This window comes from Homo sapiens, chromosome 20 (assembly GCF_000001405.40).
Source record: "Homo sapiens chromosome 20, GRCh38.p14 Primary Assembly".
Lineage (NCBI taxonomy): Eukaryota > Metazoa > Chordata > Mammalia > Primates > Hominidae > Homo > Homo sapiens.
In genome coordinates this window covers 21,395,365-21,412,509 of record NC_000020.11, presented here as the reverse complement: position 1 = coordinate 21,412,509, position 17,145 = coordinate 21,395,365, and the positions used below count along the sequence as shown (strand labels likewise).

Genomic DNA, 17,145 nt, shown 5'->3' with positions numbered 1-17,145 from the left:
GTCTGAAACTATTCCAAAAAATGAAGAGCAGGGAATTCTTCCTAATTCATTCTATAATGCCAGCATTACCCTGATACCAAAGTGAGACAAGGATACAACCAAAAAAGAAAACTACAGGCCAATATCCCTAATGAACATAGTTGTAAAAGTCCTCAGCAAAATACTAGCAAACCAAATCCAAAAGCACATCAAAAAGATAGTACACCACAGTCAAGTAGGATTTATCTCAGGGATGGAAGGATGGCTCAACATATGCAAATCAATAAATGTGATACCTCTCACCAATAGAGTGGAGGGCAAAACCTTATGATCAATAGATGCACAAAAAATATTTGGTAAATTTTAACATCCCTTCATGATAAAAGAAAACTCTCAACAAATTATGTGTAGAAGGAACATACCTACACAATAAAAATCATATATGACAAACCCACAGCTAACATCAGACTGAACATGGAAAAGCTGAAAACTCTTCCTGTAAGAACTGGAACAATACAAGGATACCCACTTTCATCACTCTTATTCAATGCAGTACTGAACATCCTAGCCAAAGCAATTAGGCAAGAGAAAGATATAAAGGGCATCCAAATTGGAAAAGAGGAAGTCAAATTGGCCCTTTGCAGAGAACATGACCTTATAGATACAAAAACCTAAAGACTCCACAGAAAAACTCTTAGAACTAGTAAATGAATTCAGTAAAGTTGCAAGATACCAAATCAACATATAAAAATCAGTAGATTTTCTACACACCAATAATGAATTATCTGAAAAAAAATCAAGAAAGCAATCCCATTTACAATTGCTACCAAAAAATACTTGGGAAGAAATTTAATCAAGGAGGTGAAAGATGTCCAAGATGAAAACTACAAAATACTAATGGAAGAATTTAAGGAGGACACAAAACATGGAAAGACCTCCCATGCCCACAGACTGGAAAAATTAATATTGTTAAAATGATCATACTACCCCAAGCAATCTACAGATTCAACGCAATCTCCATCAAAATATCAATGATATTCTTCACAGAAATTTTTTAATCCTAAAATATGTGTGAAACCACAAAAGACAAGTAGCCAAATCACTTTTGAGCAAAAAGTACAAAGCTAGAGGCATTACACTACCTAACTTTAAAATACATTACAAAGCTATAGTAACCAAAACAGCATGGTATTGGTATAAAAACAGACATATAGACCAATGGGACATAAAAGAGAAACCAGAAATAAATCCATATGTTTACAGTCAACTGATTTTCAACAAAGGCATCAAGAATATAAATTGAGGAGAGGACACCCTCTTCACTAAATGGTGCTGGGAAAACTGGATATCCATATGCAGAGGAATAAAACTGGACTTTTATCTCTTACCATATACAAAAATCAACCTAAAATGAATTAAAAACTTAAATGTAAGACCCAAAAGTATAAAACTGCTAAAAGAAAACATAGGGAAAATCCTCAGGATACTGGTCTAGGCAAAGATTTTATGGGTAAGCACAGGCAACAAAAAACAGAAATGGGCAAATGGTACTACCTCAAACTAAAAAGCTTCTGCACAGCAAAGGAAACAACAAAGTGAGGAGACAATCTGTAGAATGGGAGAAAACATTTGCAAACTATACATATGAAACAGGACTAATATCCAGAATATATAAGGAACTCAATAGCAAAACAACTAATAATCCAAATGAAAAGTTGGAAAAACAGATAAATACCACAGGTCCTCACTCATATAGGAGCTAAAAAGTTGTGCTCATAAAAGTAGAGAGTAGAATTGTTGTTATTAGAGGCTGAGAAAGGCAGGGGTAGGAAGATAATGGTTAACAGATACAAAATTACAGCTAGATAGGAGGAATAAGTCCTAGTGCTCTGTAGCAATGTAGGATGAATACGATCAACAATAATTTATGGTACATTGAAAAAGGTAGAAGATTTTGAATGTTCTCAACACAAAGAAATGATAATTTTTGAAGTGACAAATATGTTAATTATCCTGATTTGGTCATTGTACATTGTATTTGATCATTGCACGTGTATTGAAATATCACTTTATCTCATAAATAGGTCCAATTATGAGGTGTTAACTAAAAAGGAAAAGAAAAAAATATATACTTTTGGGACATACTAAATAAGAAAGGAATAAAATAAATAATAAAGCAAATATTTTCTAAAATTGCTACAATGGGTGACTTCATCTATTACTTAAACCTATTTAATCTAACTTCACATTTTTACAGATGAGAAAACTTAGATTCAGAAAGGTTAAGTAAAATTTGCCACCAAATTTTACAGTTTGGTAGAATGTGATTCAACTGAAGTCCATCTAATTCTTTTTTTTTTTTTTTTTTTTTTTGAGATAGAGTCTCACTCTGTCGCCCAGGCTGGAGTGCAACCTCTGCCTCCCAGGTTCAAGTGATTCTCCTGCCTCAGCCTCCCAAGTAGCTGGGACTACAGGCAAGTGCCACCACACCCCGGTTAATTTTTGCATTTTTAGTAGAGATGGGCTTTCACCATGTTGGCCAGGCTGGTCTCGAACTCCTGACCTTCGGTGATCTGCCCACCTCGGCCTCCCCAAGTGCTGGAATCAAAGCCATGAGCCACCACGCCCGGCCTGAAGTCCATCTAATTCTAAAGCATAATTGCTTTTTACTAAACCATGATCCTCTCAAGGAAAAGTAACAAGGTTGAAAGTAAAAATATGTTAAGAGTGTAGGCTAAAATTTTCAGCTGGAATACTTCTACAATAGTGGTATTTCTGGGTGTTATTTTCAGGGGACTTTCCCCTTACAGTTGATATATTTCTTGGTTAATTTTCTTTTCTTTTTGGTTGTTTAAATGAGCAATAGTATTTTTTGTAAGTAGAATAGTATTAAAGAAATATTAAAGTACTTAGTAAAACTGAATTTAGACTGGTTAAAAACGTTTTAAATTATTATCTAGTGTCAGTGAGAGATGTAGGGAGAAAAGTCATAACACTGCTAACGTAAACTAATGTGTAAACTAATAGTCTTTTTGGAAGGCACTTTGGCAGCCTCTACCCTAATGTGTAATAAATTTATCCTCTGACTGGCTGGACAAAGTGGCTCACACCTGTAATTCCAGCACTTTGGGAAGCTGAGGTGGGAGGATGGCTTGAGATCAGGAGTTCAAGACCAGCCTGGTCAACAAAGCAAGACCCCCATCTCTACAAAAACTAAAAATATTAGCAGAGCATGGTGGCATGCACCTGTAGTATTGGCTACTCTGGAGGCTGAGTGGGGAAGATTCCTGGATCCCAAGGGTCCAAGGTTACAGTGAGCTATGATTGAGCCACTGCCTTCCAACCTGGGCAACAGAGCAAGACCCTGTCTCTAAATAAACACACAAAAAAACTTACCTTCTGATCCAATTTTAGTTCTAGAAATCTGTCCTGAAGAAATTTCTGTACCAGTACACAAAGATCTGTATGTTCACTGCAACACTGTTTATAATAGAAAGGAAGAAAAGAACTAAAGAACAAAAGAATGAAGAGAGAAAGAAAAAGAAAGAACAAACCTCAACTCCTTAATGGGGAACTGGTTAAATAACTTACAGTAAAACCATATTATGGAATATAAATAATCATTAGAAAGAATGTTGAAGATCAGCTGGGCACAGTGGCTCACACTTGCAATCCCAGCACTTTGGGAGGCTGAGGTGGGAGGATCACTTGAGTCCAGGAGTTCGAGACTACCCTGGGCAACATAGGGAGACACTGTCTCTACAACAACAAAAATTTCTGTATTAGCCAGGTATGGTGGTGCACACCCGCGTAGTCCCAGCTACTTGGGAAGCTAAGGTGGGAGGATCACTTGAGCCCAGGAGGTGGAGGCTGCTGAGTTGAGATCACATCAATGCACTCAGAGTGAGTAGACCTGGGCAACAGAACAAGAGACACTATCTCACAAAAAAACAAAGAATTATGAAGATGTGCACTGCTGTGAAAACATGTATTTGTACTGACAAGAAACATGTATAGGTACTGATGTGGAAACTGATACAAAATATAGTTAAAGAAAGGAAATCACAGAATATATATGTAATAACATTATATTAAAAAGTGTAAATATGTTATAGATACATAAATAAAACTAGCCATAGGATATATGTGGGTGTGTGTACACACAGATATACAGACATATATAGAAAGATCTAGAAAAACAAAAAAATACCCTAATAGTGATTGCTTCTAGAAACAGGTGTGGGATTGGATATATGCATAAGTAACTTTCTCTTTTACTCTTGCAGAGGTTGACCCACATTTTCTGTAAAGGGCCAGTAATTAAATATTTTAGGCTTGTGGGCTATACAGTCTCTTGCAATTACTCAACTATGCTGCCGTAGCAAGAAAGCAGTCATAGACAAAGGAGTGCAAGTGTGTTCAATAAAACTTTATTTATGAACACTGATATTTGAATTTCATAGGATTTTCACACATCATGAAATATTACTAATCATCTAATTTTTTTCAACCATTAAAAAATGTAAAGACCACTCTTAACTCCTGGGCTGTACAAAAACAGGTGCTGGACCAGATTTGGCCTACAGGTCATAGTTTCCTGATCCCTGCTCTAGAACAATGCTGCTGAATACAATAGCCATGAGCAGCACACTGCTACTGAGCACTTGAATTGTGACTAGTCCAAATTGAGATGTGCAGTAGGTGTAAAATTACAAAGGCTTAGTACAAGAAAAACCTCCTTAATGATTTTACATTGAGTATATAGCATATAAAAATAATAGCCTTTTGGAAATACTGGGTTAAATACAATTTTTATTTTTATTTTTAAATTAGAGATGGGGGGTCTCACTATGTTGACCAGGCTGTTCTCAAACTCCTGGCCTCAAACAATCCTCCCATATCAGCCTCCCAAAGAGCTGGGATTACAGGCATGAGCCACTGCGCCCAGCCTAAATATATTTCTATTTAATACCACCTATTTCTCTTCATTATGTGTAACATAGCTACCAGAAAATTTTAAACTATACTTGTGGCTCACATTGTATTTCTACTGGATAGCATTGCTCCATATACTTCCACACATTATTTGATTTGTTTTACAAAAAGCTTTTATCACCTCAGTAATTTTAATAATATTGAGTTAATAATGATCAATGCCAGTGTTCTACAAATATTTGTCACTATACCTGAGAAACTATATTATTCAATTATCTAAGAAAATTATTTCAAGCCAGTCATGGTGGCTTATGCCTATAATCCCAACACTTTGGGAGGCCAAGGTGATGAACTGCTTGAGCTCAGGAGTATGACCAGCCTGGGCAACATGGCAAAACTCCGTCTCTACGAAATATACAAAAATTAGCAGGGCGTGGTGGTGCCTGCCTGTAGTCTCAGATACTCAGAAGCTGAGGTGGGAGGATTGCTTGAGCCTGGGAGGCACAGGTTGCAGAAAGCCATGATCATGCCGCTGCATTCCAGCCTGGACAACACAGCGAGACCTTGTCTCAAAGAAAAGAAAAAAGCAAAAATGAAAATTACTTCATTACTGTAGTACCTAGAGGAAAGAAACACCTTCTATTACTGCTCCATTAACTCTACTCTAACCACTTGAAACTTCCAAACCTTCTGCTGCCCTTATAAAGAAAATGTATACAAAACAAATATCCAATTAAAATAGTCATCAAAATCATCTGGCAATGTAAGAATAGTCTCATTAACAACGGCTACTCAAAAATACCACAAATCAGGCCAGGCACTGTGGCTCATGCCTGTAATCCCAGCACTCTGGGAGGCTGAGGTGGGCGGATCACTTGCGGTCAGGAGTTTAGACTGGTCTGGCCAACATGGTGAAACCCCATCTCTATTAAAAATAAAAAGATTAGCAGGATGTGCTGGCGGGTCCCTGTAATCCCAGCTACCTGGGAGGCTGAGGCAGGAGAATCGTTTAAACCCAGGAGGTGAGGGTTGCAAGTGAGCCAAGATCACACCACTGCACTCCAGCCTGGACAACACAGCAAGACTCCGTCTAAAAAAAAATTGCATAAATCATCATCTATTAACCTTGTAGAGATGCAGGAGAGCAGCCATAAATAACTTTAAGATTTCTTTTTCACCCCTATTTAGAAGATCTTTACGTTTGAACTGTCAATGTTGATGACACTTCTCTTCTATTGTACCTATTAAATGAGATAAACACATAAAGCTCATGAAAGTAACTAGTATGTTAGTAAGACAAATAAATATTAGTAATGTTTACAATTTTTGCCTTATCCCCACCTTACAAATGGGATGTGTTCTGAAAAGTTCATTAGTAAGTCAGCTATTTAGAATTTGACATGCATTTTCTTTTAGACATATACATATATATATATATATATATATACACACACACACATATATATACACATATATATACAGGATATATTCACATGGATATAAACATATAATTTCAAATAGTACATAAAAGTACATAAAGTAATACATATTATGTATACATGTCTTAGTCCATTTGCTATATAGGAATACCTTAGTCTGTTGCTATAAAGGAATACCTGAGGCAGGGCAACTTATAAAGAAAAGAGGTTTATTTAGCTCACAGTTCTGTAGACTGTACCAGAAGCATCTGCTTCTGGTGAGGGCTTCAGAGTGCCTCAATTTACGACGGAAGGTGAAGGAGGGCAGGCATCACATGGCAAGAGGAAGCGAGAGAGAGAGGAGGGTGGTGCCAGATTCTTTTAAACAATCAGATCTTGCAAGAACTAAAGGAAGCAGTCACTCACTACCAGAAGGAAGGCACCACGCCCTTCATGAGGGATGCCTCCCCGTGATCCAAATATCTCCCACCAGGCCCCACTCCAACACTGGGGATCAAATCTCTGCATGAGATTTGGAGGGGTCAAGCATCCAAACTACATCAATATATAATTTTAAAATACTGCTCAACGTCAGGATATGAATGCCAGGGATAAGTTTATTCTAATATCAGAGGGGCTCCTTCCCCAGTTTTCTAAAGCACTAAGACAATCTTAAGCATATAGTAATCACTAAATAAATTCTTAGTTAATATAATTGTATGTGTTCATTCTAGATCTTTTTGCTCTGGAGGATTTTTTTAGTATGAAAAGGAGAAAACATAGGTAGAATATAATATTCTCTTATATTTAGAGTGCTTTGTGGGAAAGAACTAGAGTTAGTTTGGCATCAAAGAACTGATCTAGGACTGTTACCTGCAAATTATGGTGACCTATTTAGCCTCAGTATCAGAACTTTCTAATAACTAGGATATCAAACGATGTTGTAGTTTCTATGAAGTTTTTTTTTTGTTTTTTGTTTTTGTTTTTGTTTTTGAAACGGAGTCTCACTCAGTTGCCCAGGCTGGAGTGCAGTGGCGCGATCTCGGCTCACTGCAAGTTCCGCCTCCTGGGTTCACGCCATTCTCCTGCCTCAGCCTCCCAAGTAGCTGGGACTACAGGCGCCCGCCACCACACCTGGCTAATTTTTTGTATTTTTAGTAGAGACGGGATTTCACCGTGTTAGCCAGGATGGTCTCCATCTCCTGACCTCGTGATCCACCCGCCTCGGCCTCCCAAAGTGCTGGGATTATAGGCATGATCTATGAAGTCATTTTTTTAAAGTATGAAGCATTCCTGAATCAGAAGGCTACAAACCTGAACCATATTTTGTTCCTAAACCTTAGAGTCCTTAATTGAGATGATTCGATGTTGAGGTCTCAGACTTTTTAGGAATGGCCACTACAACAAGCCAATATTTAAAAATAATTCCATCTGCTATAGAACTATTAAGATGTTTATGTTCAGTGCTCCCTCCATGAAGCCCCATGACAAATTTTTTTTTAGAGCTGAGTATTAGGAAATGCCTCTTTCCTTGAGAAATGTTGTGTGTATGTCTGTGTGTATTGGGAGGGTGTTCTTCCTAAATGCAAGGAAAATATAACTGACTTTTTCAATTGACCACGAGGAAGCTTAGAGCCAAATGTGAGGCTCAACTATAGGAATTCAGTAGGCTTTATAGCCTGTTTAGTTGATGTTTTTTCAACTTATATCTTAATTTCCTACTCTTTTATAAGATCCTTATTTATGAGGTCTTGAGTCTTACTAAATGTTTAAAGCGCACAAATATATTTATTTATAAACTGCCTCAGATTTTTTATATATCAAGGCAGAGGAAGAATAAATGTTTATGTTTTTTTTTTGCCTTACATATGTCCTCTTGAGTCTCTAAGTAAAAATATCTATGTGAGAGAGATACATCTTGCTTGAACATATGGAAACGGGACAATCCATATACAGGAAGCTAAGGACAATTCGTGATTAGACTTTCTTGGGCGTGAAATGTGTTTGATCTTCATAAGTGTGTTTACCTGTATCATTTATTACCTATAAAGTTAAATACAATCACATGTGCATATTAAATATACAGAACATTCTCCATTTTTCCTTTAACATGGGTACAGAAGCCCTGATTTGTTCATACAATATCCATGACCAAATAATATTTCTGCCACATAAATTTTTTTCATGAGCAGCGCACTTAAACAACAATTGTACCTACTAAACCTGGGTTTTATGTAAAGATTATTTCAGAGGGCACTGGAAACCCCAGGTTTCTCTTCGATCCTCCAGTTCTTTAGAAAGCAATTTCTAACCCACCAGTTCTACCACCCTTTTAATCTCCATAAATTGTTGGTAAGAGCTGCATCAAGGCATTCTGCCATCAATTATGTTCACAACAGTAGCTCAATCATATATGCACTATCACTGATTATCCTAAAGAAATACTGCACTTAAGAGAACCAACTCTAAATCATCATACATCTCATTCCAGCAGATGTAGCTAAGAAATAAAAACAAAAAATAATTATATATATACCTCAATATTTATAGAAAAATAAAATTTCATATAATACTTTCCATTCAGATCTTTCAGAGTATTTTGTTTATATGTTTGTAATGGTAAACATATAAAGAATGTATTGAAACAATGGCCTTGTAAATTATTCTATTATCCAAATCCTAGAACAATAACTTATGCAAAACATTTAACCCTAATATAATCTTTACAGTTCAAGATTTAGTCCTTCATTAAAAAGTGAACTTTAAAAAATATAAATTTGATTTAAATTTTTTTGAATATGTTATTTTAAAAAATCTTTCACTCATTGAAGTTTGCCATTTTTTAGGGTTGAGTTAGTTTTTTAAAAATTTACCTTGGATACATAGCATATGCTTTTTGTTTTTGAAGAGGTAATCTACTCCAAATATTCTATTTTCCTTCTGTTAGATAATTATACATTTTAAAAGACATACTACATGCCAATGATAAGCTGCTTTCATTTAAGCTGGTTCCGATTTTCTCAAGCAATTCTCATTTATCTGGCTTGGTATTTCAGGCCAAATTCCAATGGCTGTGGTTTGTGACATTTTTGTGTAATTTCCATGATTTCTAAAAGTACAAACACCAGTTTGAATCACCTTTTCAGTATTACACCTACGTAATTCCCTACACAGTGACAAGATCAAATTGCCTTTTACATTTAGTACTTCACTTTTAAAAACTTTATAATAAACCCTAGATTTACTAGAGTCAGATCCCACAATTTATTTCACAAACTGGATATTCTGGGGCAATAATCAGTAATTTTCAAGTCCATCTGACACGTCTGTTGTGGTTTGAGACTCTCATTTTATTAGGTTTTTTGGGTTTTGGTTTTCTTGAGAAAATCTTATAAGGCAACTTTATTAGTCAGGTTTTCCTTGTGGCACTTACTGTCTGAAGAAAGTAGATTAATGAAATTGTTTCATATTAAGCTTTTTAATGCAAATTATTAAGCAATAAATTGCTTAAAATCTACCAAAATTTGCATTGATTTATGAGGTAAACATTAGCCTATTGCTTCCTTTTAAGAACAATTCTCAACCTACAATTCAGACAGATACATGTGAATACAAGTATCTGTCAACTATTCCCTCAACATTAGTAGTACACAGAAGAACAAAAGGGGACAAAATTGAGCAAATTATTCTCTAATTACTATATTGTCATAGCTGTTCCTTCTAAAATGTACACAGTAAAACTTTTTATTAACAAATCCAACAACCTAATAATCAATTTACCAAAACATCAAAAATTGGAGTTCTCCTTCAAGTAAGTGATGGTGGCAACAGCCCAATTACTCAGCCCAGATGTTAAAAACTGATACCTTCCTTGATAATTACAAAGTAATTTGTAAATGCAAGATGACACATCTTTAATGAGACTTGTAGGAGAAAAAGAGTTTACATTAAAGCCACTAAATCTCAGATTCGAAAAATGTGACAGTATGTGAGAAGTTATAAAGTAAGTATTTTTAAAAGCTTTGTGTATTTACTCTAATTAGGTTGTGTTGGAAACATGGTGGAACACTTAGAAAAACTAACTCCTCACACAAAATAACCAACAGAAATATAGTTTTGTTTAAAATTCAGAGGATTCTTTTTCCTATAAAACAGCCATTTAATGACACTCCAAAACATCTAAAAAATGTTGTTCAATGGAAATACCACTATGTTCCAAAATATTTTAAACTTTCTATATACACAAAATATACAATAAACTTGTAATTCAGAAATAAAAAATTATATTTCAATATTGCCATTGTTTTTCCCATACATGTATTATTACTCTAAAAAATGATTTTTAACATAGAAAAATTTGAATTTGTGGCTCAAGCTCCTAATCCTAGGGTGAGAGAATTGGGACACACTGGATAATTTCCCTATTTTTACTCCCCTGTTATAGCCCAGTGTTATTCTCTACTCTGACTGTAAAAACTATAGTGTTACAGCTTGACCCTAGAAGGGGAGGTTTCTTGTTTGTTTTTTTCCTTAGGGGGATGGGAGGAGGAATCATTTCATTGGACCATATTATAATAATTTTGACAACAAAATGTGATTACCTACTATTCATTCTCACACTGTACTAACAATTGTGTTAGCTTAAAATGTGTTTATTGATACCAATTATCATTGGTCAGAAAACAATTTTCAGTCTAAAATATCTGAATCTCAGGAAAAGGATCACAAGATTTTTTTGAGTAAACTGCCAGGAGTTTGTATTTTGTGAAGAAAATATGAAAGGATTACTGTGTCACATAGAAATAACAAAGCCTTATAAATGCAAGTGTAAAATTACTGTAAGACATTTAAAATAATTGAAATGAACACTATTGGAAAAAGGCTTATAAAGGGACTAAAAAGAAATGAGAACCAGATCTCAGAAACTGATGAATTTAGCAAAAAAAAGTAAAATAATTCAAATAAACTTTGTGTTTCATCTCTATGGCAGTTTTATTTTCCTCTTTATAACCTCAAATTTTGCTGCAAAATACTAGTATCCTTAAGATGTTTCTTTATTCCTTCCCAACTGCAAAGACAATATTTTAAGGCTACTTCCACAACATAAAACTTATTAATCAAATTGTTGCACAACTAGTTTAAACTAATTGCAAATGTAGCAAGTGTCTCAGTTCTAAAAGGCACTTACGTTTTTGGGTATCAAGCAGAAAGTTATATTTTCAAACAGTCTTGATGAGGAAATACAAGACCCACTGAAAACCTATTCACCACCTAGATAAACAATATTTCCCTCTAAGTACTGGCTGGACCCCCACTTCAAAGTGGGTATGTCAGAAGTTTCTCAACTCCTCTCAGGTCCCTTTCGCTGAGCTTCTGTCTGCCAAGAGCAAATCCAAACTGCAGAAGGCTCTTTCCTTAGAATTTTTTTGCTAAATATTTTTGGCACTAAGGCTATCTAACACATCAGAGATTTTCAACAAATACCACATTTTTGCCAGAAAGCCAGGAGTGTTTTGTCTAGAGAAATCTTGTCTTTTTGTCTAGAAAAAATTTCTGTATCTGCCACAGCCTATCTTCGTCTGTTTTCAATGTTGCAATGTGTGAAACTATAAAAACCTAAACTATGAAAAAGGCAAGGTACCAAATCACATAGAGCATGCTATCTTTTGTGTGTAAAATGGTAGTATGCTTCTAGATGGACAGGCCATTCCAAAAGAAACAGGTAACACCAAATTCCTCTGAGGCGAAGAACTAGGAGCCTTGAAGGATAGGAGAGTGAGAACCAATTCTTTTCACTGTATTCCCTTAGGCAGTATTTGCATTTTATTTTATTTTTTAATTTTATTATTTTGCTGGGTGCCAGCATTGTTTTTTAAGGAAAACAATGAGAAAACACTCCTGAGAAATACATTTCCTGTGAAATGCAGTTTAGCCAATAATATTTGAGAATCTACTAAGTATAAATTTCCACACATAATTTAGGTACACGATAATCTGATGAAATGAATACAAAGCTTCAATGGAATATCAATTGGGTTATATTGTGTCTATATATAAATGTACATATACATCCTTCAGACTATATCAATTTTCAGAATCATCCACACGCATCCAAATAGTGTTTCCGGCATGAAGATATGTAATTTCTAGAATGAGGTACAAACAATTGACAGGAAGAATTGTCAAAGACTGTAGATTTTTCTTTCCCAGAACTGTTTACCTACAGTGATGGAATACTATTTGGCTTATCAAGTTCCTAAGCAGTCAGAAAGTGACTCTCTGCAGAGAACCTTCAGATGTGATAAAGTGCTTTTAATTTAAAGATGGAAGCATTCCAGATGTATATGCACTTATAACAGGACCCAATGCAGTTGAAAAACAAAATAAGCAAAAATTGTAGTACAACCACTTGATGTTAACTGCTATGTCAAAGTTCTACAAAGAAAATTACATGAGATGAAATTTATAGCCTGAAAACAGAGTAATAATCATCTGGAAAAAATTAAAATTGTAAACACTTTTCAACTTGGACAACTAATCAATATGGAGATTATGATAATGCGTTTCATATTTGAAATACGTTTGAACTTGAAAAATAAAATATAATGGGCCACAAATAACTTTTATATTCACAGATGTCATAACACAACTATTTTTTACTTACCCTGTTGTCTCTGAGAAACATTTGAAATGACTATTATTTTATTTAAGCTAATACATACAAGTAAACAATACAATTTAAACTAAACCGGAAACGTAAAATTCAAACTGTAGTTTTCAGAAGGATCCCAGCAAGTGTTTAAATACATACATAAGTGCTTCTTTGTGTATCATTAGTTTGTTTTTCTTAAGTAGGTAATTCCAGTGCAGGTGAGGATGAAGACCTAGCCGATGTGTTTCAAGTTCATAAAAGACCTGTAAAAGTAGCATCGTGTTAAAACTGTAGCAATATTAATCTTGCTAAGTCAATACTGATGTTTGTAAACAATTCCTGTAACCTTGCATTTTATTTTTACAGTATATTAAAACATTACTCTTAACATTCGTCTGTCACTTCCTTCCCACAGGTGACCTATGGCTTTTTCCCCCCTAGAAAGGGCAGATTCTTTGCAAAACCATACTGAGTTGAACAAAACAATTATTAAAATCCTAAGAACAAAACCATGGAGAACATTTCCACCAAAGGGCTAAAACCAAACAGAAAAAGGAATATGTAACACTGTTCTTGCCTTCAAGACATGTACTGTCAGGTTAAACTTAAATCGATTCCACACACCCTTTTCTGGAAAAAAAATAAAACAAAATATTGCTTAAGAAAGCACTCTCCTTGTTTTTCTTTCTCCTGCTCCAGTTTCCAGGAAAACTTAAAAGTGTTATCTTTGTTTTCTCGTTATCATTATTATTGCTGCAAGATTGTTTTCAAAATTTAATCAATATGCTTTGCACACTGCTTTTGTCTTATGCTTTGTCTTGTTCAGTATTTAGTAGAGAGTTCATAATGTCTAAGTATTCGGGTAAAACTGCAAGTCAAAGGATGACAAAGTTTTAAAAATCTGTTTATCTATGGTTTTGTATTTTTCCAAAGAAACTACAATTTTCACCTGATTTCTGCATCCATTTTCATATCGCTTGAACAGGTTATATTTTTCCAACAACAACAAAAAGACCCGTTGCGAACAACTAGAAATATTTGGAAGTTTTGATATTTTGTCTTTCTCTTCTTTTTGATCACGGTAGTGATGGGAGAATAAACTTAAGTCAGAGATATTTACTGAGAGAAAGAGAGTAAGAACACACACAAAGGGAAAGAAAGCAGAAAAAACTTTACAAGTGCAAACTCAGTAGGAAACATTTTAGGAAATAAAAATGTTCCCCCTCTTTCCCTTGTTCAATTTCCATCCCCACAGAGGAAAAACAGAATACTTACAAGTTAGCATCTGCGTATTTATCAGTGTATGTGTGTTTTCTCTCTTCTCTGGGCTTGGATACTTTGAGCTAATTTGGAAGTGCCCGTTTGGTTGCCCACAAAATGATGCTTAAGGGTCTAAAAACGCATAAATTAGGGAGCCCTACAATGGCAAAGGACGGTCATTGTACCTCCTCTCTTTATGCGCTCTTACGGTGGGACCCAAGAGCCTTTTTTTTTTTTTTTAACACTTTAGGTGATGGAGCGAATGAGGGGCTGATAACTGGAGAGGACGAAGCAAGCCCCCGCAACACCCTCCCCCCAAACTTAGCAGCACGTTCCCCATTCCGCAATTATACCGGACTTTGGTGCGAAGTCACTTTAGAAAACTGGGATCTGGAAGGGGCCAGGCGCGGAGTCCATGTCTAGCCTCGACGCCAGCCTCCGAGTTTCTATTTCTGGTGCTCGAGGGCTGGGGTAACGGCCGCGGATGGAGGAGCGAAGGATGGGAAAAGCAAAGGATGGGAAAAGCAAAGATGGGAAAAGCAACGGGGAGTGATCTTTCCAAGAAACACCCAACTGCCCCTTTTACCTTTTTTTGCCTCCATTATGGGGCGGGGGTTGGGGGGGCGAGAGAAAAAGATGTCAATGACCATTGTTTGCTCGTTTGGGATGTTGCTCCGCCCCCCGAGTCTGTCGTAAACCTGGCGCCGGACTAAAATAAACCCCAGATCCCGCAGCCCGGGGGGCTCGCCGAGCCGCCGACTCCTCGTCACAGGCTCAGCTGCCGCGGCCGAGGTGGCGGCGACGAGCGGCCGCCGCGTCCTGCCGGCGCGCGCCCCAGGCCCCCCTACCTGGCTGCCCGCCGAGCCATGTCGTTGAGCCCAAAGCACACGACGCCCTTCTCCGTGTCCGACATCCTGAGCCCCATCGAGGAGACCTACAAGAAGTTCAGCGGCGCCATGGACGGCGCGCCACCCGGCCTGGGGGCGCCCCTGGGGGCCGCGGCCGCCTACCGCGCGCCGCCACCTGGGCCCTCCTCGCAGGCGGCGACCGTGGCGGGCATGCAGCCTTCTCACGCCATGGCGGGTCACAACGCGGCGGCCGCGGCGGCGGCGGCAGCAGCTGCGGCGGCGGCGGCCGCCACCTACCACATGCCGCCCGGCGTCTCGCAGTTCCCGCACGGCGCCATGGGCAGCTACTGCAACGGCGGCCTGGGCAACATGGGCGAGCTGCCCGCCTACACGGACGGCATGCGGGGCGGCGCGGCCACCGGCTGGTACGGCGCCAACCCGGACCCACGCTACTCGTCAAGTGAGAGGGGCCAGGAGCGCGGGGCTGCGGGCGGCTCAGGCGTTTCCCGCCACAGCCGAGGGGCGCGGGGGCGCGGGACGGGGTGCGCGCGGCTTAGGAGGTCCTGGGGCCGAGCGGGCGCGCGGGGCGTCCTGGGACGCGGCCCGGGACGCGCGGGGTTTCTGGGGACCCTGGGCGCGCGGGGGGTCCTGGGACCTGACCGGGAACGCGCGCGGCGTCCTGGGACCCGTTGAGGGCGTGGTGCTCTGGGACCCGCCGAGGGCGCGCGGGGCGTGCTGGGGCCGGAGGCCGCGGCGGTCAGGGGGTCTTGGGATTCAGCGAGGGCCCGGCGGCGTCGCGGCCGCGGCGTGAAGAGAGCGGCGGCTGGACCGGCTCCCGGCGGGCCTGGAGCTCACTCGCCTTCCCCCTTGGGACTCTTCCCCAGTCTCCAGGTTCATGGGGCCGTCGGCGGGCGTGAATGTGGCCGGCATGGGGTCGCTGACCGGCATCGCGGACGCCGCCAAGTCGCTGGGCCCGCTGCACGCGGCGGCGGCGGCAGCCGCTCCGCGAAGGAAGCGCCGCGTGCTCTTCTCGCAGGCGCAGGTCTACGAGCTGGAGCGGCGCTTCAAGCAGCAGAAGTACCTGTCGGCGCCCGAGCGCGAGCACCTGGCCAGCATGATCCACCTGACGCCCACGCAGGTCAAGATCTGGTTCCAGAACCACCGGTACAAGATGAAACGGCAGGCCAAGGACAAGGCGGCGCAGCAGCTGCAGCAGGAGGGCGGCCTGGGCCCGCCGCCGCCTCCGCCGCCGTCCCCGCGCCGCGTGGCGGTGCCTGTGCTGGTCAAGGACGGCAAGCCGTGCCAGAACGGCGCCAGCACGCCCACCCCCGGCCAGGCCGGTCCGCAGCCGCCGGCCCCGACGCCAGCACCTGAGCTGGAGGAGCTGTCGCCCAGCCCACCCGCGCTGCACGGCCCGGGGGGCGGCCTGGCGGCCCTGGACGCGGCCGCCGGGGAGTACAGCGGCGGCGTCCTGGGCGCCAACCTGCTCTATGGCAGGACGTGGTGACAGCGAGGGCGCCCCGGGGCTAGGTCCTGGTGCACCCGAAGGGTCTGCAAGAAACTGCTAGAACGGATGGGGGAGGCATGCGAAAACCGACTCGCGCGTGTAAACTGCGATTCAAAACGAACCGGTCTCAGAGAGGAGCAGGCTGTGAACCTCTTGCTGGGGGCGGGGGACAGCGACAGCCCGGAAACCGAGTAGTGTAACATTATGCCACGAGGCTTTGAGGTGGTGATTTTCTCCTCCTAGAAGTTCTTAAATGACGCGAAAAGGTGGAGAAGTTCACACGGCATTCTTAACTACAGCTCTCAAAGTTGGAAACTTTGTTGGCGTTTGTAACTATAAAAATCAACCCAGCTTTAACAATCAGTCCTTTTTGAAGTGGAATTTATCTTGGGAGATTAATTTTCGAAGGGCCCCCTAAGTGCAATTTCATTAATGTTTGATTGAAAGTAAATTGAAGTGTAGCTCAAGGTGGATCATACACATAGCAACATTATTGCAGAGGAATTATTGCCATTTAGGTAATAGAGCAATGGAATCAAAATAAAA

General features: G+C 39.8%; 1 protein-coding gene and 1 long non-coding RNA gene across 11 annotated transcripts in view; one reads left to right on the top strand and one right to left on the bottom strand.

Moving 5' to 3' along the window:
* LOC105372558 (uncharacterized) overlaps positions 1 to 15,647 on the bottom strand; it is a 44,594-nt gene extending 28,947 nt beyond the window's left edge. The window contains exons 1-4 of one of the 10 annotated variants that reach the window (XR_001754530.1): positions 13,934 to 14,576; positions 13,144 to 13,247; positions 6,040 to 6,155; positions 5,444 to 5,477 (exon numbers count right to left, since the gene is read on the bottom strand). This is a non-coding gene — a long non-coding RNA (uncharacterized LOC105372558). The other 9 variants (XR_001754526.1, XR_007067725.1, XR_001754527.3 and 6 more) reach the window with 9 other exon arrangements.
* On the top strand, positions 14,984 to 17,145 carry NKX2-4 (NK2 homeobox 4). The gene is made up of 2 exons (NM_033176.2): positions 14,984 to 15,552; positions 15,977 to 17,145. Exons 1-2 carry the CDS (start codon positions 15,111 to 15,113, stop codon positions 16,597 to 16,599), a joined length of 1,065 nt encoding a protein of 354 aa, NP_149416.1. The 5' UTR covers positions 14,984 to 15,110; the 3' UTR covers positions 16,600 to 17,145.

What these genes read in the sequence shown, in the direction of transcription:
- NKX2-4 (NM_033176.2), top strand. Translation starts at nt 15,111, where the DNA reads ATGTCGTTGAGCCCAAAGCACACGACGCCCTTCTCCGTGTCCGACATC. An exon ending in GGACCCACGCTACTCGTCAA is followed by an intron (nt 15,553 to 15,976) that starts GTGAGAGGGGCC and finishes ACTCTTCCCCAG; the next exon opens with TCTCCAGGTTCATGGGGCCG.